Source organism: Homo sapiens, chromosome 2, assembly GCF_000001405.40.
Source record: "Homo sapiens chromosome 2, GRCh38.p14 Primary Assembly".
NCBI lineage: Eukaryota > Metazoa > Chordata > Mammalia > Primates > Hominidae > Homo > Homo sapiens.
Genome location: NC_000002.12, coordinates 178577589 through 178603166, shown reverse-complemented (window position 1 = coordinate 178603166; position 25578 = coordinate 178577589). Strand labels below are relative to the sequence as shown.

Sequence of the window (25578 nt, the reverse complement as noted above, 5' to 3'; positions counted from 1 at the left end):
AAGGATCTATATTAACCACTGGAGGGGGAAAAGTTAAGATTAAAAAGACAAGTACAGTAAAAGAATTTCTGTAATTGTAAAGCACTTTCAGAAAGGTAAAGGATTGTTATGGGATTATTGTAGACACTGATCCTGTCCCTAAAGGGCATTAAGATTAGTTTGTGTTCAAAGGTTTACTAGCTATTGATGGAATCCTTTTTAAATTTTCATATTGTGGCAAATTAAATTTAAATCATGTTTTCAGTAAAGGCTATTGTAGAATTTCTTCAAAGGGATCTCAAAAGTAAAGTAGTTTTTTACCAATCATGTATAAATAGAATGTAAATCTAACAAGATAGGAAGTAGTCTTTCTATTCCCAGTTAGTTGTTTGCTTTCTCTGTTTTTGCATTAATGCTAAAGGAAAATAGACCATTTCCTTTATTTCTCTTCTCTAGAAGGCAACTGTATTTCCTTTTAGCATTTCTATTTTAATATTTTAATAGATTAAAATAATATATGATCATGTGTAGTAAAAGACTCCAGCACTTCATCAGCTTCAAAATCTGATGAAGCTTTTTTTTTTCTTTTGTTATTAGTTCCACCGGGGCCACCTTCTTGCCCAGAAGTTAAAGATAAAACGAAGTCAAGCATCTCACTAGGATGGAAACCTCCAGCCAAAGATGGTGGCAGCCCAATCAAAGGATACATTGTAGAAATGCAAGAAGAAGGTACTACTGACTGGAAAAGAGTAAATGAACCAGACAAACTTATAACTACCTGTGAATGTGTGGTGCCTAATCTGAAAGAGCTCAGGAAGTACAGATTCAGAGTGAAAGCTGTCAATGAAGCTGGTGAATCTGAACCAAGTGATACAACTGGGGAGATCCCTGCCACTGATATTCAAGGTACTAGTACTTACTCAGTTTATGTATTCCTCTTTTGATCTTATTATGAAATTGATTAATTTACTGAAGATATTTCAATTACTTTTGACAAATATGAGCTAAATCCTGTTAAATTGTATGTGGTATTACAGAGGAACCAGAAGTTTTCATTGACATTGGAGCACAGGACTGTCTGGTTTGTAAAGCTGGCTCACAGATTAGGATTCCTGCTGTCATCAAGGGACGCCCAACACCAAAATCATCTTGGGAATTTGATGGAAAGGCAAAGAAAGCAATGAAGGTAGGAAAATAACCATTCTCCTCTTTTTTCCACTGAATCACTATAAGGAGTATTTATACTACAACTGACTGTCTCCTTTTCTAATAGGATGGAGTTCATGACATACCCGAAGATGCACAGGTAAAAAAATAATAATTAAAATAATTCAGAATATGGTTGACTTCAATATTGCTATGATTTCATTCAATGTATGACTACTATTTTCTTTGTACAGCTGGAGACTGCTGAAAACTCCTCAGTAATTATTATTCCGGAGTGTAAACGATCTCATACAGGCAAATACAGCATCACAGCCAAGAATAAAGCAGGACAAAAGACTGCAAATTGCAGAGTTAAAGTCATGGGTAAGAAAGACTTTGAAAGTTGCTACAGAATAAAAACAAATTATTTTTAAGCATTTAAGGAACGTTGCTTATATTGTGATTTACATCCAACAGATGTACCAGGCCCACCCAAAGATCTGAAAGTCAGTGATATCACAAGGGGTAGTTGCAGACTTTCATGGAAGATGCCAGACGACGATGGAGGAGACAGGATCAAAGGCTATGTTATTGAGAAGAGGACTATTGATGGAAAAGCCTGGACCAAAGTCAATCCAGACTGTGGAAGCACCACATTTGTAGTGCCTGATCTCCTCTCTGAACAGCAATATTTCTTCCGTGTGCGAGCAGAAAACCGTTTTGGTATTGGCCCACCTGTGGAAACCATTCAGAGGACCACTGCCAGAGATCCGATATGTAAGCTTTAAAATCTAAATTTAAAATATCTTCTCAAAATTGAAGTATATTATTATAAACAACGCTTAATACTTCCTTTAATTATTTTTACAGATCCTCCTGATCCTCCTATTAAACTCAAGATTGGCCTCATCACAAAGAACACAGTGCATCTGTCATGGAAACCCCCGAAGAATGATGGGGGCTCCCCTGTTACCCACTATATTGTTGAGTGCCTTGCATGGGACCCTACTGGGACAAAGAAAGAAGCCTGGAGGCAGTGCAATAAGCGTGATGTGGAAGAACTGCAATTTACTGTTGAAGACCTAGTAGAGGGTGGGGAATATGAATTCCGAGTCAAAGCTGTCAATGCTGCAGGAGTCAGCAAGCCTTCAGCCACTGTTGGCCCTGTGACTGTCAAAGACCAGACATGTAAGTACCAATGTACTGACAAAGAATGTCCTCCTTACAGCTGCCTTCCTAGGTGTTCAATAATAGTTCACAATTAAAAGAGCTATATCTGTACCTTAGGAAGCTACTATGGCTTGAATGTAGACATGGGCACATTACTTAATTACTCATTCCTTCAATTTCCACAGAATTTTCACATTCCCTTACCTGTTACCTTTTCCCTGTTCAAAGGAGATGATGTCTGTAATTTCCTCGCTGTAATTTTCCTCGCAGTCTGTTTTATTTATCAGAGGCTAAAGCAATTTCTCTGCATGCTCCTCAAAAGGGACAGAAAGTAACCAGTCATTTTCTTAGCAACTGCTGAGACCCATTTATCTTCACAATCAAGTTTTTATTTCTCTATATGAGAAAAGATATATCCATTTTAATGAAGTATATATATATATATATATATATATATATATGGTAATAATTCTTCCTCTGATAATTACCATCACTACTGTTGTGTATTTGTTTATTCTCTCATCTAAGTGTGAAGAAACTGTAGTCACTACCCTCTTTGAATATTTCTGTCCTAAATTTGTGCAAAATGGAAAATTGCTTTCCTTTTATTAACAGTTATATTTCTTAAAAGGGGAATTCACCTTCTTGTGTATCCCTTCATAATTCTGTGTAAATATTAAAGAGAGTATCCCATGATACTCTCCTACTACAATCTCCTCTCTTCCCTTTTGTCAGGATATGAGAATATAATAATACACATCATTACATGCATAATGATGCCAAATAAAGTGAGGCAAGCACAGATACATAGCCACATGTAGATCCAATAAAAGATGCTGACCCCGTGTACCTGCTCCCCAAACTAGCGTAATAGTGTTAAAGACAGAACCATTCTTTATATTGGGCTGAGCTACAAAGTCTGCCTACAGTGGATCCAAACAACTTTATAGTAACTGTGAATTCTACTTTCTATCCCTCAATGCTTTTTGCTCCTAATGACAACTTTTTTTAAATAATCTAGGCCCACCATCAATTGATCTAAAAGAATTCATGGAGGTTGAAGAAGGAACCAATGTTAACATTGTGGCCAAAATTAAAGGTGTGCCATTCCCGACACTAACCTGGTTTAAAGCTCCTCCAAAGAAGCCTGATAACAAAGAACCTGTTCTCTATGACACCCATGTCAACAAACTGGTGGTAGATGATACTTGCACTTTAGTTATTCCGCAGTCTCGCAGGAGTGACACTGGCTTATATACCATCACAGCTGTAAATAATCTGGGAACAGCATCAAAGGAGATGAGACTGAATGTCCTGGGTAAAGACTGCATGGTTTGGTTAAAATTACTTGTTTTTCTGTTCATAAATAACATTTGGCTTTAAAATCATCTGAGTGATAAAGGGTTCCTTCTTTAAACCATTTTAGGTCGTCCTGGCCCTCCAGTGGGACCCATAAAATTTGAATCTGTTTCAGCAGATCAAATGACACTATCTTGGTTTCCACCTAAAGATGATGGTGGGTCTAAGATTACAAACTATGTAATTGAGAAAAGAGAAGCTAACAGGAAGACATGGGTCCATGTCTCCAGTGAACCTAAGGAGTGCACGTACACGATTCCCAAATTGCTAGAAGGCCATGAATATGTATTCCGAATCATGGCCCAGAATAAATATGGCATTGGAGAACCTCTTGACAGTGAACCTGAAACAGCAAGAAACCTCTTCTGTAAGTAGGAGAACATTTTCACATACAAAGCCATTTTTACTTTTTTTTTAAATTTCTTATAATCAATATGATCTTTTTCACAGCTGTCCCTGGAGCACCAGATAAACCAACAGTTAGCAGCGTGACTCGTAACTCCATGACTGTCAACTGGGAAGAGCCAGAATATGATGGAGGCTCTCCTGTGACAGGGTACTGGCTGGAAATGAAAGACACCACTTCAAAGAGATGGAAGAGAGTTAACCGAGATCCTATCAAAGCCATGACTTTGGGTGTTTCTTATAAAGTGACTGGTCTTATTGAAGGTTCCGACTATCAATTCCGGGTATATGCAATCAATGCTGCTGGCGTGGGTCCAGCAAGTCTGCCATCAGACCCAGCGACTGCTAGAGATCCAATTGGTAAGCCTGGAAACCATTCCTTTTTTTTAAATCTTATTTTCCAAAAGTGCCTTGGAAAAGTCAAGAATACTAACGTATACTGGCTCTTTGCAGCCCCTCCTGGTCCTCCATTTCCCAAAGTGACAGATTGGACTAAATCATCTGCAGATCTGGAGTGGTCTCCCCCACTAAAAGATGGTGGATCCAAAGTAACTGGATACATCGTTGAATATAAAGAAGAAGGAAAAGAAGAATGGGAAAAGGTAGGAAAACTTGGCACTAAGGAAATGCACTATGAATAAACTAAAAAATGTCATAGTTATTCTCAATCCCATTAACTTCTGTCTATACTTTTTGGATTAAGAAATCAGGAAAATAGCATAATTTTAACTCACATTCCAAACATCTGTTAATGTCAGAAATCGAATCAAAAGTTAAGTCATGTTATTACTAATCTTTTGGTTATAAACCCTGGAATGTGGAATAAATAAATCAAGGTTTAATCATTTGACAATAATTTTAAAGCATAACTCCTGCCAAGTTATTCCATTCAGTGTTGCCTGTAATATCTGATCCCTAAAACCTAAACCAGCAACAATTTTCCCAGAGTAAACAGTTAAATAGGCTGCTGGTGATGCTTTAGGAAGCCATTAAAGCAAGAAGCTACAAAGAACTATTCTAATTATAAAATGTCTATGATTTCTCCCCAGGGTAAAGATAAAGAAGTGAGAGGAACAAAGCTTGTTGTGACAGGATTAAAGGAAGGAGCATTCTACAAATTTAGAGTTAGAGCAGTCAACATTGCTGGCATTGGAGAACCTGGAGAGGTCACAGATGTCATTGAAATGAAGGACAGACTTGGTAATTATCAATCCTTCCTTATGCCATCAGTATTTATGTTTCAGATTGAAGGGGAAAAATCACATTTGTAATTTTCAATTGCTTCCAGTTTCACCTGACCTTCAGCTAGATGCCAGTGTCAGAGATAGAATTGTTGTCCATGCTGGAGGGGTGATCCGAATCATTGCCTATGTGTCTGGAAAGCCTCCTCCAACCGTCACCTGGAACATGAATGAAAGAACCTTACCTCAAGAAGCCACCATTGAGACCACAGCCATTAGCTCATCCATGGTCATCAAGAACTGCCAGAGGAGCCATCAAGGCGTCTATTCTCTTCTTGCCAAAAATGAAGCCGGAGAAAGAAAGAAGACAATTATTGTTGATGTATTAGGTAAATACTTTCAATTTGTCTGTGCAACTTTTTAAACCAACATTCTTATTATATTTACACAAAGCTATGCTGTATGCTGTGTAACAAACATTTTGGAAAATAAGAAAAATCACCCATAATCATGTTGAACATTATTAGAATTTTTAAAAATTTCCTCCTTACTTTTTTATTCTATGTGTATTCTGTATGGTGGGTGTAAGTTTACAAATTATATAATTGAGAAAACAGATGCTAACAAGAAGACATGCATCCATGTTTCCAGTGAACCTAAAGAGTGCATGTACACAATTCTCAAATTGCTAGAAGGCCATGAATATGTATTCTGAATCATGGCCCAGAATAAATATGGCTTTTTTATAGAACTTGCCCCCATAGTGTCTATTATGTTGTTATATAGTTTTCATAGAAGCAACTTTCCTTAAACTGTACATGAATGTTTAACAATCTGCAACTTTCCTTAAACTGTACATGAATGTTTAACAATTTGCCAGTGCTGACCATTTCACATCATGAGACTCTACCCCTATCGCTAAATTATCATAATAATGCAAAAACCTGTTTGAAGGGTTTCAGTATTCTAATTGAAGAGAAGCATCATAGTTGGTTATCAATATTGCATTTCTAGTCACTGAATATAGAGTTGAACTCTATGAGGCTTTTTCATGGCTCTCACTGGAGGCTTTAGTCCAGTGATTTGCTCAGAACACGAAGCCTTTCCACTCAGGGCTCTTTCTAAGCATGTCTCTAGGCACAACAATACTCCAGCCACAGTTTTTATGTGAAAATTGCCAGTTCTATGTTGAATATAATTAATATAAGAATGGCATAAGGAAAAATATTTCATTAAGCAGTAGCCCCACAAACTTTCAGGTTAGTTTCAAGCACCTAAAGCTCTTTTGCCTAATGGTTATTACTTTAATTTGAGAACTGGTACATTTCCACGTTAATTATTTGCAACCTCCTCAAAGTCATTCTGAAATTTGGGGCCTCCTATGCTGCTTGTTGATCCACTGGTCATCCAGAAATAAACCATCTCTCTCTCCGTTTCCCCTGCAGAGGAAACTGGACATAGAAACTGACTATGCCACTCTTACCCATCTCTTGTATCCCTCTGCATGCTTGCCTCCCAGCTCCCTCCTGTCCAACTCACAAATTGCTTTTAAAAAGCATTTTTATTTTCCCTTCAGCCTCTACTAAAACCATGGTAACCAATAACTGTTGCAAACCTACTTCATTAACAAATATGGGGCTTGATGCTATGGCTCACACCTGTAATCCCCTGACTTTGGGAGGCCAAGGCAGGTGGATCACTTGAGGTCAGGAGTTCGAGACCAGCCTGACCAACATGGTGAAACCCTGTCTCTACTAAAAATGCAAAAATTAGCCTGGTATGGTGGCACATGCCTGTAGTCCCAGCTACTTGGGAGGCTGAGGCAGGAGAATTGCTTGAACCTGGGAAGCGGAGGTTGCAGTGAGCTGAGATTGTGCCACTGAACTCCAGCCTGGGTGACAGAGCGAGACTCCCATCTCAAAAAAAAAAAAAAAAAAAAAAAGTGGTTGACTGTTTTTGTATTGACTAGATAGCAGAAGGAAAAACTAACTCAATTAGTAGACACAAAACCTTACTTTCTTCAAAACAACATTTTTGTCTCCTTTTAAAAAAACAAGTGTTGAGCATTATCTTTCATTGAAGGCAAACAGCTTGAATTATTTTCTTCTTATTTCCAGATGTTCCAGGTCCCGTTGGAACACCATTCCTAGCTCACAACCTAACCAATGAGTCCTGCAAACTGACATGGTTTTCTCCAGAAGATGATGGAGGCTCTCCAATCACCAATTATGTCATTGAAAAGCGTGAATCTGACCGCAGAGCATGGACCCCAGTGACATATACAGTTACCCGACAAAATGCTACTGTCCAGGGTCTCATTCAAGGAAAAGCCTACTTTTTCCGAATTGCGGCTGAAAATAGTATTGGCATGGGTCCATTTGTTGAGACATCAGAGGCACTTGTTATCAGAGAGCCAATAAGTAAGTAAAAAAAAAAAAATGTATACTTAATCACTTCTTTACTCATTTAGTACAAGACTATGGTGAAAAAATATGTGTATAAATGCCGTACATTTCATTCACTTGACAAGCAGTTATCACACAACTACTCAGTATCTGATTTGGTAGTATTTGGACAGTGATTGTGAAAGAGATTTTACAAATATGTATAATTCATTGAATTTCTTTTTGTTTTTTTTTTTCTTTTTGGTTTTGTTTTGACACATAGTCTTACTGTTACCGAGGCTGGAGTATAGTGTCATGATCTTGGCTCACTGCAACCTCCACCTCTGAGGTTCAAGTGATTCTTGTGTCTCAGTCTCCCGAGTAGCTGGGATTACAGACATGCACCACCATGCCCAGCTAATTTTTCTATTTCTAGTAGAGGCAGGGTTTTGCCATGTTGGCCAGGCTGGTCTCAAACTCCTGGCCTCAAGTGATCCACCTGCCTCGGCCTCCGAAAGTGCTGGCATTACCACTCCTAGTTCATTTATCAAATTTCTTCCATCTATACCTCACAGATTTTTTTTTAATTTCCCACTTAATGGCATTAATAGAAACTGAATTATTTTCCTACTTCTAAAACTACCAATTCTGAAGACCTTTCCTAAATTATTTTGCCTCAACAAACCTCTATTTCCTCATCTGTCAAGTGAAGAAATTCAATTGTATTGGGTCCTTTTTAACTCTAATAGTTTTATGATGAGATCTCTTTTGCTATTTATGGGAGCAGAGAGTTTAATGTTTAAATGCAATCTTCAGAAAAGGAATATTCACTACATCCTACTACATTCTTAATGTGACATTTTTTTCTACCACAATTCCTATACTTATATTCGCAGCTGTACCAGAGCGTCCTGAAGACCTGGAAGTCAAAGAAGTTACTAAAAATACTGTAACTTTGACTTGGAATCCTCCTAAGTATGATGGTGGGTCAGAAATTATTAACTATGTCCTAGAAAGTCGGCTCATTGGGACTGAGAAGTTCCACAAAGTTACAAATGACAACTTGCTTAGCAGAAAATACACTGTTAAAGGCTTAAAAGAAGGTGATACCTATGAGTACCGTGTCAGTGCTGTCAACATTGTTGGACAAGGCAAACCATCATTTTGCACCAAACCAATTACTTGCAAGGATGAGCTGGGTATGTGTCTACTACAATTTATACTTCTGAAACTTGCACATTTGTAGATTTGTAATAAGACATCAATAAAAATGACTTGCCTTTATAATTACAAATTTTAGCACCCCCAACGCTTCACCTCGACTTCAGAGATAAGCTCACGATTCGAGTTGGTGAAGCTTTTGCCCTCACTGGCCGTTACTCAGGCAAACCAAAGCCTAAGGTTTCCTGGTTCAAAGATGAAGCTGATGTGCTGGAAGATGATCGCACTCATATAAAGACTACACCAGCAACACTTGCTTTAGAGAAGATCAAGGCCAAACGTTCAGATTCCGGCAAATACTGTGTGGTTGTGGAGAACAGTACAGGCTCTAGGAAAGGTTTCTGTCAAGTTAATGTTGTTGGTAAGTCTTATTTAGTGGAAAGAATAGATCTTCTGTTCTTTCAAAAGCAGAAATGGCAATAACATTTTGTGCCATGATTTTTTTTTTCTGCAGACCGTCCTGGACCACCAGTAGGACCAGTTAGTTTTGATGAGGTGACCAAAGATTACATGGTTATCTCTTGGAAGCCTCCTTTAGATGATGGAGGCAGTAAAATCACCAATTATATTATTGAGAAGAAGGAAGTGGGTAAAGACGTCTGGATGCCAGTGACATCTGCAAGTGCTAAAACAACATGCAAAGTTTCTAAACTACTTGAAGGAAAAGATTATATTTTCCGGATACATGCTGAAAATCTGTATGGAATAAGTGATCCTCTGGTGTCTGATTCAATGAAAGCCAAAGATCGTTTCAGTATGCATTATGTTTCTTTTTAGTGATTCAATGCTTGATAAAACTAATATAAAGAAATAAATTTCTAACGCATTTTCCAACATTTGTTACAGGGGTTCCTGATGCACCTGATCAGCCAATTGTTACAGAAGTTACCAAAGACTCTGCATTAGTAACCTGGAATAAGCCACATGATGGAGGAAAACCCATCACAAACTACATCCTGGAAAAGAGAGAAACTATGTCTAAACGATGGGCTAGAGTTACCAAAGATCCTATTCATCCATACACTAAATTTAGGGTTCCTGATCTTCTAGAAGGATGTCAGTATGAATTCCGGGTTTCTGCAGAAAATGAAATTGGTATTGGAGATCCAAGCCCACCATCCAAACCAGTCTTTGCTAAAGATCCAATTGGTATAGTATTAATGGATTTATTCAGTTTTCATGTTATCTAACTTTGTTTTCAGCTATATGCTAATTCGTTTTTTACTTTTATTTTTTAGCTAAACCAAGTCCACCTGTTAATCCTGAAGCAATAGATACAACATGCAATTCAGTCGATCTAACTTGGCAGCCACCACGTCATGATGGTGGGAGCAAGATTCTGGGTTATATTGTTGAGTACCAGAAAGTTGGAGATGAAGAGTGGAGAAGAGCCAATCACACCCCTGAGTCATGTCCTGAAACTAAATATAAAGTCACCGGTCTTCGGGACGGTCAAACCTATAAGTTTAGAGTGTTAGCAGTCAATGCAGCTGGTGAATCAGATCCAGCTCATGTTCCGGAGCCAGTCCTAGTAAAAGACAGGCTTGGTGAGTAAAATGCTCTCACTTGTGTTTGCAAGGAAAATAGATGTCTGATTGTATGTGTTTAATTGTAATCTGCATTATGGATCAAATCTGAGTGTTCTGTTCTCTTTATTCTAGAACCCCCTGAGTTGATTCTTGATGCCAACATGGCAAGAGAACAACACATTAAAGTTGGTGATACTCTAAGACTTAGTGCCATCATCAAAGGAGTGCCATTCCCAAAAGTAACTTGGAAAAAAGAAGACAGAGATGCTCCAACTAAAGCAAGAATTGATGTGACTCCAGTTGGTAGCAAGCTTGAAATTCGTAATGCTGCCCATGAAGATGGTGGAATTTATTCTTTAACAGTGGAGAATCCAGCTGGTTCAAAAACTGTCTCAGTAAAAGTACTTGTATTAGGTAAGAATTTTACTACTTAGGCCATTAAAAATAAATTTTGATAATTTTGAGCTCTTATATGGATAAAATTACTTATCAAACTGTTATTTAACACTTTTTAGATAAACCTGGGCCACCTAGAGATCTGGAAGTCAGTGAAATTAGGAAAGATTCATGTTACCTTACTTGGAAAGAACCACTGGATGATGGTGGTTCTGTTATTACCAATTATGTGGTTGAGAGGAGAGATGTTGCCAGCGCCCAGTGGTCACCTCTCTCAGCTACATCAAAGAAAAAGAGTCACTTCGCTAAGCATCTGAATGAAGGCAACCAGTACCTCTTCCGAGTAGCTGCGGAGAACCAGTATGGACGTGGTCCTTTTGTTGAAACACCAAAACCAATCAAGGCTTTGGATCCTCTCCGTAAGTTGCTTTCTCTGAATACAAAACTATTGTTTGACTGTCTTTAAGAATATTACTTTTTCATCATAACTTCTTCTTTGAAAAGATCCCCCAGGGCCACCCAAGGACCTGCACCATGTAGATGTTGACAAGACTGAAGTCTCCCTAGTCTGGAATAAGCCGGATCGTGATGGTGGTTCTCCAATCACTGGATATTTGGTAGAATATCAAGAAGAAGGCACCCAGGACTGGATTAAATTTAAGACTGTGACAAACTTAGAGTGTGTGGTTACTGGACTACAACAAGGAAAGACCTATAGATTCCGTGTAAAAGCTGAAAACATTGTGGGTCTTGGTCTCCCTGACACAACTATCCCGATAGAATGTCAAGAAAAACTAGGTAATTTTTGGACTAGCAGTATTACCTTATTTCTTTTTAAAATTATTCATATAGGTGAAAATCAAAATCTAATTTTTTCATGTTTACTTTTCAGTGCCTCCATCCGTGGAGCTAGATGTGAAATTAATTGAAGGTCTTGTGGTAAAGGCTGGAACCACAGTCAGATTCCCTGCTATTATAAGAGGTGTGCCTGTTCCTACTGCAAAGTGGACAACCGATGGGAGTGAGATTAAAACCGATGAGCACTACACAGTTGAAACAGACAACTTCTCATCAGTACTTACCATTAAGAACTGCTTAAGGAGAGACACTGGGGAATATCAAATCACAGTTTCCAATGCAGCCGGTAGCAAAACAGTAGCCGTACATCTTACTGTTCTTGATGTTCCTGGGCCACCAACAGGTCCTATTAATATTCTGGATGTTACTCCTGAACACATGACTATCTCATGGCAGCCACCTAAGGATGATGGAGGAAGCCCTGTGATAAATTATATTGTTGAGAAACAAGATACAAGGAAAGACACGTGGGGTGTTGTCTCTTCCGGAAGCAGTAAGACAAAGCTGAAAATCCCACATCTGCAGAAGGGCTGTGAATATGTTTTCCGAGTTAGAGCAGAGAATAAGATAGGTGTTGGTCCTCCCCTTGACTCCACACCTACTGTTGCTAAGCATAAATTTAGTCCTCCGTCTCCTCCTGGTAAACCAGTGGTTACTGACATTACTGAAAATGCAGCAACAGTGTCTTGGACCCTGCCAAAATCTGATGGTGGCAGTCCAATAACTGGCTACTATATGGAACGTCGAGAAGTAACTGGCAAATGGGTGAGGGTCAACAAAACACCTATCGCTGACCTGAAGTTCAGAGTGACTGGACTCTATGAAGGAAATACATATGAGTTTAGAGTTTTTGCTGAAAATCTTGCAGGACTAAGCAAACCATCCCCAAGTTCTGATCCAATAAAAGCTTGCCGGCCCATCAAACCACCTGGACCACCTATTAATCCTAAACTGAAAGACAAGAGCAGAGAAACAGCTGATTTGGTGTGGACAAAGCCTCTCAGTGATGGTGGTAGCCCCATTCTAGGATATGTAGTGGAATGTCAGAAACCTGGCACAGCACAATGGAACAGGATTAATAAAGATGAACTCATTAGGCAATGTGCCTTTAGGGTACCTGGACTAATTGAAGGAAATGAGTACAGATTCCGTATAAAGGCAGCTAATATTGTAGGAGAGGGTGAGCCAAGAGAACTAGCAGAATCTGTGATTGCAAAAGATATCCTTCATCCTCCAGAAGTAGAACTTGATGTTACTTGTCGTGATGTTATTACCGTGAGAGTAGGCCAAACTATCCGCATTCTAGCTCGAGTCAAAGGCAGACCTGAACCAGACATAACTTGGACTAAGGAAGGCAAAGTATTGGTCCGAGAAAAGAGGGTGGACCTTATTCAGGATCTACCTCGTGTTGAGTTACAAATTAAAGAAGCTGTTAGAGCTGATCATGGCAAGTATATCATCTCAGCTAAGAACAGCAGTGGACATGCCCAAGGTTCAGCCATCGTTAACGTCCTTGACAGACCTGGGCCTTGCCAGAATTTGAAGGTTACCAATGTAACCAAAGAGAACTGTACAATTTCTTGGGAAAACCCACTAGATAATGGTGGCTCAGAAATAACAAACTTCATAGTAGAATATCGCAAACCAAACCAGAAAGGCTGGTCAATTGTTGCATCAGATGTCACTAAACGATTAATCAAGGCCAACCTTTTAGCCAACAATGAATACTATTTCCGAGTTTGTGCAGAGAATAAAGTAGGTGTTGGGCCAACCATCGAAACAAAAACTCCCATTCTGGCTATTAACCCTATTGACAGACCAGGTGAGCCTGAAAACCTTCACATTGCAGATAAAGGAAAGACATTTGTCTATCTAAAGTGGCGGAGGCCTGACTATGATGGTGGCAGTCCAAATCTGTCATATCATGTTGAGAGAAGGCTTAAGGGCTCCGATGACTGGGAAAGAGTGCATAAAGGAAGCATTAAAGAAACTCACTACATGGTTGACAGATGTGTTGAAAACCAGATTTATGAGTTCAGAGTGCAAACAAAGAATGAAGGTGGGGAAAGTGACTGGGTGAAGACAGAGGAAGTTGTTGTGAAAGAAGACTTACAAAAACCAGTACTTGATCTGAAATTAAGTGGGGTCCTAACTGTCAAAGCAGGGGACACCATTAGGCTTGAGGCAGGGGTTAGAGGCAAACCATTCCCAGAAGTTGCATGGACCAAGGACAAAGACGCTACAGACTTAACAAGATCACCAAGGGTCAAGATTGATACCCGTGCTGATTCATCTAAATTTTCTCTTACTAAAGCAAAGCGAAGTGATGGGGGTAAATATGTAGTTACGGCAACTAACACGGCTGGCAGTTTTGTGGCCTATGCCACTGTCAATGTTTTAGATAAGCCTGGTCCTGTGAGAAATCTGAAAATTGTTGATGTGTCCAGTGATAGGTGTACTGTTTGCTGGGATCCACCAGAAGATGATGGTGGCTGTGAAATCCAAAATTATATTCTAGAAAAATGTGAGACAAAGCGAATGGTTTGGTCTACCTATTCTGCTACTGTCTTGACACCTGGTACTACAGTAACACGTCTCATAGAAGGAAATGAATATATTTTCAGAGTCCGTGCAGAAAATAAAATAGGCACAGGGCCTCCAACAGAAAGTAAACCAGTCATAGCCAAAACCAAGTATGATAAACCTGGTCGCCCTGATCCCCCAGAAGTCACTAAAGTAAGCAAAGAAGAGATGACTGTGGTTTGGAATCCACCTGAATATGATGGTGGAAAGTCTATAACTGGATACTTTTTGGAGAAAAAGGAAAAGCATTCAACACGATGGGTCCCTGTCAACAAGAGTGCAATCCCTGAGAGACGTATGAAAGTACAGAATCTCCTCCCAGACCATGAATATCAGTTCCGTGTCAAGGCAGAAAATGAAATTGGAATTGGAGAACCAAGCTTGCCTTCAAGACCGGTGGTGGCAAAAGACCCCATAGGTAGGATGTCCTTGTTTTTTCTGATATTACAGCAACTCTTAATCTCAAGCACAGAAGTATTCGATAAATAAGTTAATGTAACATCTAAATCTGTAACATCCAAACTGTATTTAGCAAATATTTTTCCAAATAGACCTTTTACCAAAATACCTAAAAGGTACAAACAATAGTAGATTCTCATTTTTATGAAGGAAAATAAAGAGGACACTAATTGAAAAATTGGATGACCTATATTTGATTAACTGAGAATAGGCTATATAAAATTACACATTGAAGTATCACTAGTAGTAGTTAACTATATGTATATTTTACTTTCAGAGCCACCTGGTCCACCAACCAATTTCAGAGTGGTTGATACAACCAAACATTCCATAACTCTTGGGTGGGGAAAACCAGTCTATGATGGTGGTGCACCGATCATTGGATATGTTGTGGAAATGAGACCAAAAATAGCAGATGCGTCTCCTGATGAAGGCTGGAAACGGTGTAATGCTGCAGCACAGCTTGTACGCAAGGAATTCACTGTTACCAGCTTGGATGAAAACCAGGAATATGAGTTCAGGGTGTGTGCCCAAAACCAAGTTGGTATTGGGCGCCCTGCAGAGCTAAAGGAAGCTATCAAACCTAAAGAAATACTAGGTAAGTCCTTCCCTTAGCATGTGATTCATTCACACTTAATTTCTTATGATTTCCCCACATTCTGAAAAATCAATTAATGACCTTAATGTCATTTGCAGAACCTCCGGAGATTGATTTGGATGCCAGCATGAGGAAACTGGTCATAGTGAGAGCAGGATGCCCTATTCGTCTCTTTGCTATAGTGAGAGGACGACCAGCCCCTAAAGTCACTTGGCGAAAAGTTGGCATTGATAATGTGGTCAGAAAAGGACAAGTTGATCTGGTTGACACTATGGCCTTCCTTGTCATCCCCAATTCTACCCGTGATGACTCAGGAAAATATTCCTTAACACTTGTGAACCCAGCAGGAGAAAAGGCTGTATTCGTAAATGTCAGAGTATTAGGTGGGTTACTAAAATGCTTCTCCCTCCCACTTCAAAAATGAATTTGTTAATAGGGATGCTGAGGAGACATGTATATCTGATTTTATGATTCTTTACAGACACTCCTGGGCCTGTGTCTGATTTAAAAGTTTCAGATGTCACTAAAACATCATGCCATGTGTCCTGGGCCCCTCCTGAAAACGACGGTGGGAGCCAAGTGACACATTATATCGTGGAGAAACGTGAGGCAGACAGAAAGACATGGTCGACCGTTACCCCAGAAGTTAAGAAAACAAGCTTCCATGTAACCAATCTTGTCCCTGGGAATGAGTATTACTTCAGAGTAACTGCTGTCAACGAATATGGCCCTGGCGTCCCAACAGATGTCCCAAAACCAGTGCTTGCATCAGATCCTCTAAGTAAGTATTATGCTTTCTTCCTCCTTTTAACCCCAGTCTCCTATTTTAGCAAGGTCAAGATACTAATACCATTTTAATCCACTTCTGAAAGAGATTTCATTTGTAGAGACCGAAATAGTGTAATAAATATCTATCTCACTCATGAAACACTTTTTTGATCTGTCTCATCTTATATGTTTTGCTTTTAATGTACTGAACTACAGGTTCTATGTACATTGGAGCAAATCCATACTAAAACTCTTATGTACATTAACAAAGGGGATTTGATTAGGTTACCTAGGTAATCTTCTAAATTATGTTTTTCTTCTAGGTGAGCCGGATCCCCCAAGGAAATTAGAAGTGACTGAAATGACCAAGAACAGTGCCACCTTAGCCTGGTTACCTCCCCTACGTGATGGAGGTGCTAAAATCGATGGCTACATCACTAGTTACAGAGAAGAAGAGCAGCCTGCAGATCGCTGGACAGAGTACTCAGTGGTAAAAGATCTGAGCCTTGTTGTCACTGGCCTAAAGGAAGGAAAGAAATACAAATTTAGAGTAGCGGCCAGAAATGCTGTTGGAGTCAGTTTGCCAAGAGAAGCTGAAGGAGTGTATGAAGCCAAAGAACAACTGTGTAAGTAGTCTTTGCTTCATTTATGTCATGTGGTAAGTTTATTAGAATTTCTTCTTTTATATGTAGACATTTCTCCCTGAGGAATCTAGCTCTAGAAATTCTTGAAAAACAGTAGAGAACAGTGGCTTTCAAACACATGAGTGGGCCAAAAACACACAGTAAATAAACTTATACAAACACATATATAACTAAAAAACATTTCCTGAAACAATACCCATTTATTATCATGTGCATTCTTATGTTTTCTACCCTATTCTGTGTTTTTAAAAATATTGGCTGTACAACAAACATATGAAGAAAAGCTCATCACCACTGGTCACTAGAGAAATGCAAATCAAAACCACAATGAGATACCATCTCACACCAGTTAGAATGGTGATCACTAAAAAGTCAGGAAACAACAGGTGCTAGAGAGGATGTGGAGAAATAGGAAAGCTTTTACACTGTTGGTGGGAGTGTAAATTAGTTCAACCATTATGGAAGACAGTGTGGCGATTCCTCAAGGATCTAGAACCAGAAATACCATTTGACCCAGCAATCTCATTACTGGGTATATACCCAAAGGATTATAAATCATTCTACTATAAAGACACATGCACATGTATGTTTATTGTGGCACTGTTCACAATAGCAAAGACTTGGAACCAACCCAAATGCCCATCAATGACAGACTGGATAAAGAAAATGTGGCACCACATTTACACCACAGGATACTACGCAGCCATAAAAAAGGATGAGTTCATGTCCTTTGCAGGGACATGGATGAAGCTGGAAACCATCATTCTCAGCAAACACAAGAACAGAAAACCAAACACCACATGTTCTCACTCATAAGTGGGAGCTGAACAATGAAAACACATGGACACAGGGAGGGGAGCATCACACACTGGGGCCTGTCAGGGGTTGGGAGGCTAGGGGAAGGATAGCATTAGGAGAATACCTAATGTAGACGATGTGTTGATGGGTGCAGCAAATCACCATGGCACATGTATACCTATGTAACAAGCCTGCACATTCTGCATATGTATCCCAGAACTTAAAGTATATATTAAAAAAAATTGGTGGTAATACAAGCATTAATTTGCACCAGTATAGCTCTCCACCAGAAGAAACTTATCCACCTTCCCAAAATTAATATCTTTTCATTTTACTTTCAGTGCCACCAAAGATCCTTATGCCAGAGCAAATAACTATCAAAGCTGGGAAAAAACTCCGAATTGAAGCCCATGTGTATGGAAAGCCTCATCCCACCTGTAAATGGAAAAAAGGAGAAGATGAAGTTGTCACATCCAGCCACCTGGCAGTGCATAAAGCAGACAGCTCTTCAATTCTGATCATAAAAGATGTGACTAGGAAAGACAGTGGTTACTACAGCCTCACAGCAGAGAACAGTTCTGGGACAGACACTCAGAAAATCAAAGTTGTAGTCATGGGTAAGTTAAGTATTAGACAAATGGCCATCTAAATATGAAGCTCAGAAATATTTTTACGTATCAAATCCTTGTTCTTACATTTCTTTCCTCTTGGTTCATGTAGATGCCCCCGGCCCCCCTCAGCCTCCATTTGACATTTCTGATATAGACGCTGATGCTTGCTCCCTGTCATGGCACATCCCTCTGGAGGACGGAGGCAGTAACATCACCAATTATATAGTGGAGAAGTGTGATGTAAGCCGAGGTGACTGGGTCACGGCTCTAGCTTCAGTCACAAAAACTTCCTGCAGGGTTGGAAAGCTGATCCCAGGCCAGGAGTACATCTTCCGGGTCCGTGCTGAAAACCGATTTGGCATTTCAGAGCCTCTCACATCTCCAAAGATGGTTGCGCAGTTCCCATTTGGTATGTTTTTGTGAAGGAGAAAAAAAGTTGTTTTCTTTCTAGTTTGTTACTTAATGTAGAAACTGACATCTTCCTTGTCTTCATCTCCAGGTGTTCCTAGTGAACCAAAGAATGCACGAGTCACCAAAGTCAACAAGGACTGTATTTTTGTTGCTTGGGACAGACCAGATAGTGATGGAGGGAGCCCCATTATTGGTTATCTGATTGAACGCAAGGAAAGAAACAGTTTGCTGTGGGTGAAAGCCAATGATACTCTTGTCCGGTCAACTGAATATCCTTGTGCTGGCCTTGTAGAAGGTCTTGAGTATTCATTCAGAATCTATGCCCTAAACAAAGCTGGATCCAGCCCACCCAGCAAACCCACAGAATATGTAACTGCAAGAATGCCAGTTGGTAAGTTTTGGGGTTTTTTTATTGTTGTTGTTGTTTTAGTATTATGGAGGCACATTTAAATCTCGGAGTCTAAGATTTGGACTCCAAGACACAGAGAGTAGTAGAGATCTGAAGATTACAACTCCCATTTAAGAATATGTTCTATCTCTTACAATGAAGATGACATATTAAAAAAAGAAAAGGACATATAATTTCCTTTAAAGCATACAGCAAGGACTCAAAAGTGCATACTAGTTGGACGGTTATTAAAATGGGATAATTGTCTTCCTGTTGAGCTTGTTACTTAGCAGCAGGGATGATAATGTGAAATATGGAAGTTTAAACTTCTGCTGGTAAGATAAATGGTGAGTGTACCTCTTTTTGTTTTAGATCCTCCTGGGAAACCTGAGGTTATTGATGTCACCAAGAGTACTGTATCTCTGATCTGGGCTCGTCCAAAGCATGATGGAGGCAGTAAAATTATTGGCTATTTCGTAGAAGCTTGCAAACTTCCTGGTGATAAATGGGTACGGTGCAATACTGCACCTCACCAGATTCCCCAGGAAGAGTACACAGCTACTGGCCTAGAAGAGAAAGCTCAGTATCAATTTAGAGCTATTGCCAGGACCGCGGTAAACATTAGCCCACCTTCTGAACCTTCTGATCCAGTGACTATCCTCGCAGAAAATGGTAAGATTCTGCTGAGTATTATAGGCAAAGATGTAACAGCATTCATGATGGTCATTTTTCCTAATAAAAAACTAAATATACACCTAAGGAAAAAAGGAAAATTAAAATGATGTTTTGTATATAGACACAAACATTATGATTATGGAGAATCATAATAACATGCTAAATTAAAAAGCAAGATACACAACTGTGGCAACTATATAATTTCAATAGTTATTCAATAGTGCAGTTATTATTTGTCTATTAAAAATAAACAAAATGAAATAACACTAAAATTCCATTCTTGAAAGAAGCAGCATATGAATTTCCCACTATTATTAATAAGGATTACATAATATAGCTTTGCATACATTAAGTCCTTTATCTTATTTCTTTCCAGTCCCTCCCAGGATAGACCTGAGTGTGGCTATGAAATCTTTGCTTACTGTGAAAGCTGGAACTAATGTCTGCTTGGATGCTACTGTTTTTGGTAAACCGATGCCAACAGTTTCTTGGAAAAAAGATGGCACACTGCTAAAACCAGCAGAAGGCATAAAGATGGCCATGCAGCGGAATCTGTGCACCTTGGAGCTATTCAGCGTGAACCGGAAGGACTCAGGAGACTATACCATTACTGCTGAAAATTCAAGTGGTTCTAAATCAGCCACCATTAAGCTTAAAGTGTTAGGTAACTAATAAACTTCATTGGAATCCCATATTTTACTTTGGATAATGGGATGTAAATAGGATTTACAGAATAATGTGGGAGAAGACATTCATATTCTAATGTGTATTTCCTATGCACAGAATTATTCTTATGACAGAACCACGTTTTAGAGTTAAAAAGAGCTTTAGAAATCACATATTTCAATTACCTAATTTTACAAGTGAAGAAACTAAGATTCTAAAAAATTAACTAACCTCCTAGGTCATATAGGAAATTGACAATAGAAAGACTGCAGCCCAGGTCTCCAGACCTCTACTCTATACTCATTCCCCATTCCACATATTCACTCTTCTTCCTTATTCCTTCAGATAAACCGGGTCCTCCAGCATCTGTTAAAATCAACAAAATGTATTCAGATCGTGCTATGCTTTCTTGGGAACCGCCTCTTGAAGATGGAGGCTCAGAAATCACCAACTATATTGTTGACAAACGTGAAACAAGCAGGCCCAACTGGGCTCAAGTCTCTGCAACTGTGCCTATCACCAGCTGCAGCGTGGAGAAACTTATAGAGGGCCATGAGTATCAGTTCCGTATTTGTGCTGAAAATAAATATGGAGTAGGCGATCCAGTCTTCACTGAACCAGCAATTGCCAAAAACCCATATGGTAGGAACATTTCCCGGTGGTTTTTCATTTTATTTTTTAAAATTATCTTTTAGCCTGGGAAATTAACTTTTCAATCAATTTCTGCAGACCCACCAGGACGCTGTGATCCTCCTGTTATTAGCAACATAACCAAAGATCACATGACAGTCAGCTGGAAGCCACCAGCAGATGATGGGGGCTCACCCATCACTGGCTATTTGCTTGAAAAGCGGGAAACCCAGGCTGTTAACTGGACTAAGGTCAACAGAAAACCTATTATAGAAAGAACATTAAAAGCAACAGGTCTTCAAGAAGGTACCGAATATGAGTTCCGTGTTACAGCTATAAATAAAGCTGGACCAGGCAAACCCAGTGACGCATCCAAGGCCGCTTATGCTCGGGACCCTCAGTGTAAGTGTTCATGAACGAGTTCCATATCCTGTGTTAAAAGCAGCATTAAACACCCAGGAAGGAAGTTTTCATGAAAATTTCCTATCATTATTTATTCTCAGATCCTCCTGGCCCACCGGCTTTCCCTAAAGTATATGATACAACTCGCAGCTCTGTGAGTCTATCTTGGGGCAAGCCAGCCTATGACGGCGGCAGCCCTATCATTGGTTATCTCGTTGAAGTAAAACGGGCTGACTCCGATAACTGGGTGAGGTGCAACTTACCACAGAATCTACAGAAAACCCGCTTTGAGGTTACTGGCCTGATGGAAGACACACAATATCAATTCCGTGTGTATGCCGTTAATAAGATTGGATACAGTGACCCCAGTGATGTGCCAGATAAACACTATCCCAAGGACATCTTAAGTAAGTATTACCAGGGGGAGTACATAAGGCTTTTCCTATTAATCATATTCTAAGAGGGAGACTAGAACTCCCTTAGGTAGATTAATTTATTAACAAGGTGTAGAGCTGGTAACTCCAAGAGTACTTTTTAGGAGAGCTGGGTGGGTACTTTACGGTATTGTGGAACAGGCAAATCAAATGCACATGATTTGTGGTTTTGAAAAGCTTTTCATATATATAAGAATTTCCTGTCTTCAAAAGACATGAAATGAGAGAATTTTATTGGAATGTAAGAATTTTATTTTAGGAATAAAGAGGCCTTTTAACTAAGTAGTGAGCTATTTACTATTCTTAGGGTTTCTGTTTTCCAATCCACCATCTCCCTAAGTATGTGACTGGTGGGCTCTCCATCTTAATTTCCCTTCTTCTTATTTCTTCTATTTGCTTATCCTCCATGATAATTTCCCCTTTATTTGAATTACTTGATATTATATGTCACCCTCCAGGTACTTTTCTTCCTACTATGAAATAATAAAGAGAGCTAGAATATGTGGCAGAATACCTTCATGGAATATAGAAAGGAAAAAACAAGAATGAAAGGGAGCCAAAAATCAATCGTCTACTTTCCTTTTAATATATGTAGCATTTCAGAGTACATAAGGCTCATGAAAGAGGAGGTACAGATCCTCCGGGGGGAAAACCTGGTTAAGCCTAAAGCATAGTGGAAAATGGAAAGATCAACAATTAGTACAGAACAGAAAAATGATTTTGAGGATTGTATTAAGGAAGTTTTAAAGAACAAGAAATCAGCTCTAGAAAATAAATGTATTTTAGGAGTGACAAGGCCAGTCCCTGGAAATACATTTGACTATTAAATTTTTATTTAACTTCTTCACCCAAAATTAAACAGTTCCACCTGAGGGAGAACTTGATGCGGACTTAAGGAAGACACTCATATTACGTGCTGGAGTTACTATGAGACTATATGTACCAGTAAAAGGACGCCCACCTCCAAAGATTACTTGGTCTAAACCAAATGTCAATCTAAGAGACAGGATTGGACTGGACATAAAGTCAACTGACTTTGACACTTTCTTGCGCTGTGAAAATGTGAACAAATATGATGCAGGAAAATATATCTTAACCCTGGAGAACAGCTGTGGTAAAAAGGAATATACCATTGTTGTGAAAGTGCTTGGTAAGTCTATTTCAAAAAAGAATCATATATATTTTAAAATAGCTTATGTATTTTTTACACATTCATTTCTTATTTACCTACTATTTATCCAGATACTCCTGGGCCACCTGTCAATGTGACTGTTAAGGAAATATCCAAAGACTCTGCTTATGTTACCTGGGAGCCTCCCATTATTGATGGCGGAAGCCCCATCATAAACTATGTGGTACAAAAACGTGATGCAGAGAGGAAATCCTGGTCTACAGTGACAACTGAGTGCTCCAAAACAAGCTTCAGAGTAGCTAATTTGGAGGAGGGAAAATCCTACTTCTTCCGAGTGTTTGCTGAAAATGAGTATGGCATTGGTGATCCCGGTGAAACTCGTGATGCTGTCAAAGCTTCCCGTAAGCAAATGAACCATCATCCCATCATTTTGAGTTATATCCTTCCTTTGTTATATGGGGCTTACACTTATCATTTCTCCTTTGCTTTAGAAACTCCTGGACCAGTTGTGGACCTGAAAGTGAGGTCTGTATCTAAGTCATCCTGTAGCATTGGCTGGAAAAAGCCTCACAGTGATGGTGGAAGTCGGATTATTGGATATGTAGTTGATTTCCTGACTGAAGAAAATAAGTGGCAACGAGTTATGAAATCCTTAAGCCTACAGTACTCTGCAAAAGATTTGACTGAAGGGAAGGAATATACCTTCAGAGTGAGTGCTGAGAATGAAAATGGAGAAGGAACCCCAAGCGAAATCACTGTTGTGGCAAGGGATGATGTTGGTAAGGCTCTATGCACACATCTTCATTTTTCCTTTATTGTCATCGAAAGTGCACTCTTGTGTCCCACTCACTAGCTTATCTAAAAATCCGTTAAAAGCTAGAACTATTTGAAAAAGTTAATCGCCTGGCCTTAAAAATAACAGTAATTTATCTCTGCTATTTTACAGTGGCTCCTGATCTTGACTTAAAGGGTCTACCTGATTTGTGCTACTTGGCTAAAGAAAACAGCAACTTCCGGCTTAAGATCCCCATAAAAGGCAAGCCAGCTCCATCAGTCTCCTGGAAGAAAGGGGAAGATCCTCTAGCAACTGACACTAGAGTCAGTGTTGAGTCATCTGCGGTTAACACAACTCTTATAGTGTACGATTGCCAAAAATCTGATGCTGGAAAATACACAATCACACTTAAGAATGTTGCTGGCACCAAGGAAGGAACTATCTCCATAAAGGTTGTTGGCAAGCCTGGCATCCCCACTGGACCAATCAAATTTGATGAAGTCACAGCAGAAGCCATGACCTTAAAGTGGGCTCCTCCAAAGGATGATGGAGGTTCTGAAATCACCAACTATATCCTAGAGAAGAGGGATTCTGTGAACAACAAGTGGGTGACGTGCGCCTCAGCTGTCCAGAAAACCACCTTTAGAGTAACCAGACTTCATGAGGGCATGGAATATACCTTCAGGGTCAGTGCCGAAAATAAATATGGTGTAGGGGAAGGCCTGAAATCGGAGCCAATTGTTGCGAGACATCCATTTGGTAAGTGTCTTAAATTCAGAAGACGTAAAGCAAAACACGGTTTTGAGGAGGCTTCTTATTATAAATCTTGCATTATCTACTTTTTTCTAGATGTGCCTGATGCTCCCCCACCTCCCAATATTGTGGATGTCAGACACGATTCAGTATCTCTAACTTGGACTGACCCCAAGAAAACTGGTGGTTCTCCAATTACAGGTATTTTGTTTGTTCTTATCCTACAGCTTTTACATCAAGATTCCTCACAAATATTTCCCTGAGAACAGTTGAACATGTGCTTATCGATAACATTATCTGCTTATACAGAAATGTGTTTTTATTTCAGTACATATGGTTAATGTTTAATTTTATTGAAAATATCCTAATGTAATAGTTAATAAAGTATTTCTTAATTATAATATCTATTTTTGTAAGTTAAAATTGTTCACCAAAAAAGACAACAACTATGCATATTCCAAGAGGAAAAAAAAAATGGCACTATGCTTGGGTAATAAAAGTATAGATACTAGCAAGAATGACTACTTGTTCAATATATATGGATATGTATAAATAATTTGGGCAACACATATATATTGTAAAATCAAGCTGCATTTATACTTGATACATCCCTGGGTCTTTTGTAGGGTATCATCTCGAGTTCAAGGAAAGAAACAGCCTTTTGTGGAAGAGAGCTAACAAGACTCCGATAAGGATGAGAGACTTTAAAGTGACAGGATTAACTGAAGGTCTTGAATATGAATTCCGAGTTATGGCAATCAATTTAGCAGGTGTGGGCAAGCCAAGCCTACCATCAGAGCCTGTTGTGGCACTGGACCCAATTGGTAAGTCATTATATGAAGAAAAACCCAGGTGCATGTTTTACATGAAGAAAACTGGTATTTGTTTGACTGGTTTTGCTTTTATGTTTTAGATCCTCCTGGAAAACCTGAGGTTATTAACATAACAAGGAATTCAGTGACTCTCATTTGGACTGAACCTAAATATGACGGTGGTCATAAGTTAACTGGATATATAGTGGAGAAGCGAGATCTACCTTCGAAGTCTTGGATGAAAGCCAACCATGTTAATGTCCCAGAATGTGCCTTTACTGTAACTGACCTTGTTGAGGGTGGAAAATATGAATTCAGAATTAGAGCAAAGAATACAGCAGGTGCTATCAGTGCTCCATCAGAAAGTACAGAAACCATTATTTGCAAGGATGAATACGGTAGGTCCATTTT

The 25578-nt window shown here is 39.2% G+C and overlaps 1 protein-coding gene and 1 long non-coding RNA gene across 23 annotated transcripts in view, besides 2 other annotated features; one reads left to right on the top strand and one right to left on the bottom strand.

The window, feature by feature from the left end:
* TTN-AS1 (TTN antisense RNA 1) overlaps window positions 1-25578 on the bottom strand; it is a 97391-nt gene that overhangs the window by 17051 nt on the left and 54762 nt on the right. Inside the window, exons 8-16 of one of the 2 annotated variants that reach the window (NR_038272.1) lie at window positions 20461-20595; window positions 19986-20176; window positions 19246-19643; window positions 18174-18594; window positions 11853-12028; window positions 5486-5571; window positions 4494-4611; window positions 3417-3573; window positions 2500-2691 (exon numbers count right to left, since the gene is read on the bottom strand). This is a non-coding gene — a long non-coding RNA (TTN antisense RNA 1). The remainder of the gene's footprint in view (window positions 1-2499; window positions 2692-3416; window positions 3574-4493; window positions 4612-5485; window positions 5572-11852; window positions 12029-18173; window positions 18595-19245; window positions 19644-19985; window positions 20177-20460; window positions 20596-25578) is intronic. The other variant, NR_038271.1, reaches the window with a different exon arrangement.
* Window positions 1-25578, top strand: part of TTN (titin) — a 281435-nt gene that overhangs the window by 204257 nt on the left and 51600 nt on the right. For all 21 annotated transcript variants that reach the window (NM_003319.4, NM_133437.4, NM_133432.3 and 18 more), the window contains 41 exons: window positions 577-885; window positions 1017-1165; window positions 1253-1285; window positions 1380-1509; window positions 1603-1902; window positions 1996-2313; window positions 3317-3613; window positions 3722-4021; window positions 4105-4419; window positions 4513-4661; window positions 5109-5259; window positions 5348-5629; window positions 7358-7660; window positions 8521-8823; window positions 8925-9206; window positions 9300-9599; window positions 9692-9994; window positions 10084-10392; window positions 10507-10788; window positions 10890-11189; window positions 11275-11568; window positions 11663-14629; window positions 14948-15268; window positions 15367-15651; window positions 15750-16049; window positions 16360-16662; window positions 17820-18095; window positions 18199-18498; window positions 18589-18891; window positions 19261-19560; window positions 19940-20227; window positions 20575-20871; window positions 20959-21261; window positions 21363-21668; window positions 22558-22845; window positions 22938-23228; window positions 23319-23606; window positions 23774-24361; window positions 24452-24556; window positions 24982-25179; window positions 25269-25565. In NM_003319.4, coding sequence (NP_003310.4) covers window positions 577-885; window positions 1017-1165; window positions 1253-1285; window positions 1380-1509; window positions 1603-1902; window positions 1996-2313; window positions 3317-3613; window positions 3722-4021; window positions 4105-4419; window positions 4513-4661; window positions 5109-5259; window positions 5348-5629; window positions 7358-7660; window positions 8521-8823; window positions 8925-9206; window positions 9300-9599; window positions 9692-9994; window positions 10084-10392; window positions 10507-10788; window positions 10890-11189; window positions 11275-11568; window positions 11663-14629; window positions 14948-15268; window positions 15367-15651; window positions 15750-16049; window positions 16360-16662; window positions 17820-18095; window positions 18199-18498; window positions 18589-18891; window positions 19261-19560; window positions 19940-20227; window positions 20575-20871; window positions 20959-21261; window positions 21363-21668; window positions 22558-22845; window positions 22938-23228; window positions 23319-23606; window positions 23774-24361; window positions 24452-24556; window positions 24982-25179; window positions 25269-25565 — 14013 coding nt within the window. The remainder of the gene's footprint in view (window positions 1-576; window positions 886-1016; window positions 1166-1252; window positions 1286-1379; window positions 1510-1602; window positions 1903-1995; window positions 2314-3316; window positions 3614-3721; window positions 4022-4104; window positions 4420-4512; window positions 4662-5108; window positions 5260-5347; window positions 5630-7357; window positions 7661-8520; window positions 8824-8924; window positions 9207-9299; window positions 9600-9691; window positions 9995-10083; window positions 10393-10506; window positions 10789-10889; window positions 11190-11274; window positions 11569-11662; window positions 14630-14947; window positions 15269-15366; window positions 15652-15749; window positions 16050-16359; window positions 16663-17819; window positions 18096-18198; window positions 18499-18588; window positions 18892-19260; window positions 19561-19939; window positions 20228-20574; window positions 20872-20958; window positions 21262-21362; window positions 21669-22557; window positions 22846-22937; window positions 23229-23318; window positions 23607-23773; window positions 24362-24451; window positions 24557-24981; window positions 25180-25268; window positions 25566-25578) is intronic.
* Window positions 10358-11557: an enhancer, noted in NCBI's record as "CDK7 strongly-dependent group 2 enhancer chr2:179456337-179457536 (GRCh37/hg19 assembly coordinates)". NCBI's record gives its function as "activates an origin of replication core promoter dependent on BRD2, BRD4, P300/CBP, MED14 and CDK7 cofactors, with strong dependence on CDK7, by STARR-seq in HCT116 cells {active_cell/tissue: HCT116}" and the evidence as "EXISTENCE:reporter gene assay evidence [ECO:0000049][PMID:35650434]".
* Window positions 23386-24585: an enhancer, noted in NCBI's record as "CDK7 strongly-dependent group 2 enhancer chr2:179443309-179444508 (GRCh37/hg19 assembly coordinates)". NCBI's record gives its function as "activates an origin of replication core promoter dependent on BRD2, BRD4, P300/CBP, MED14 and CDK7 cofactors, with strong dependence on CDK7, by STARR-seq in HCT116 cells {active_cell/tissue: HCT116}" and the evidence as "EXISTENCE:reporter gene assay evidence [ECO:0000049][PMID:35650434]".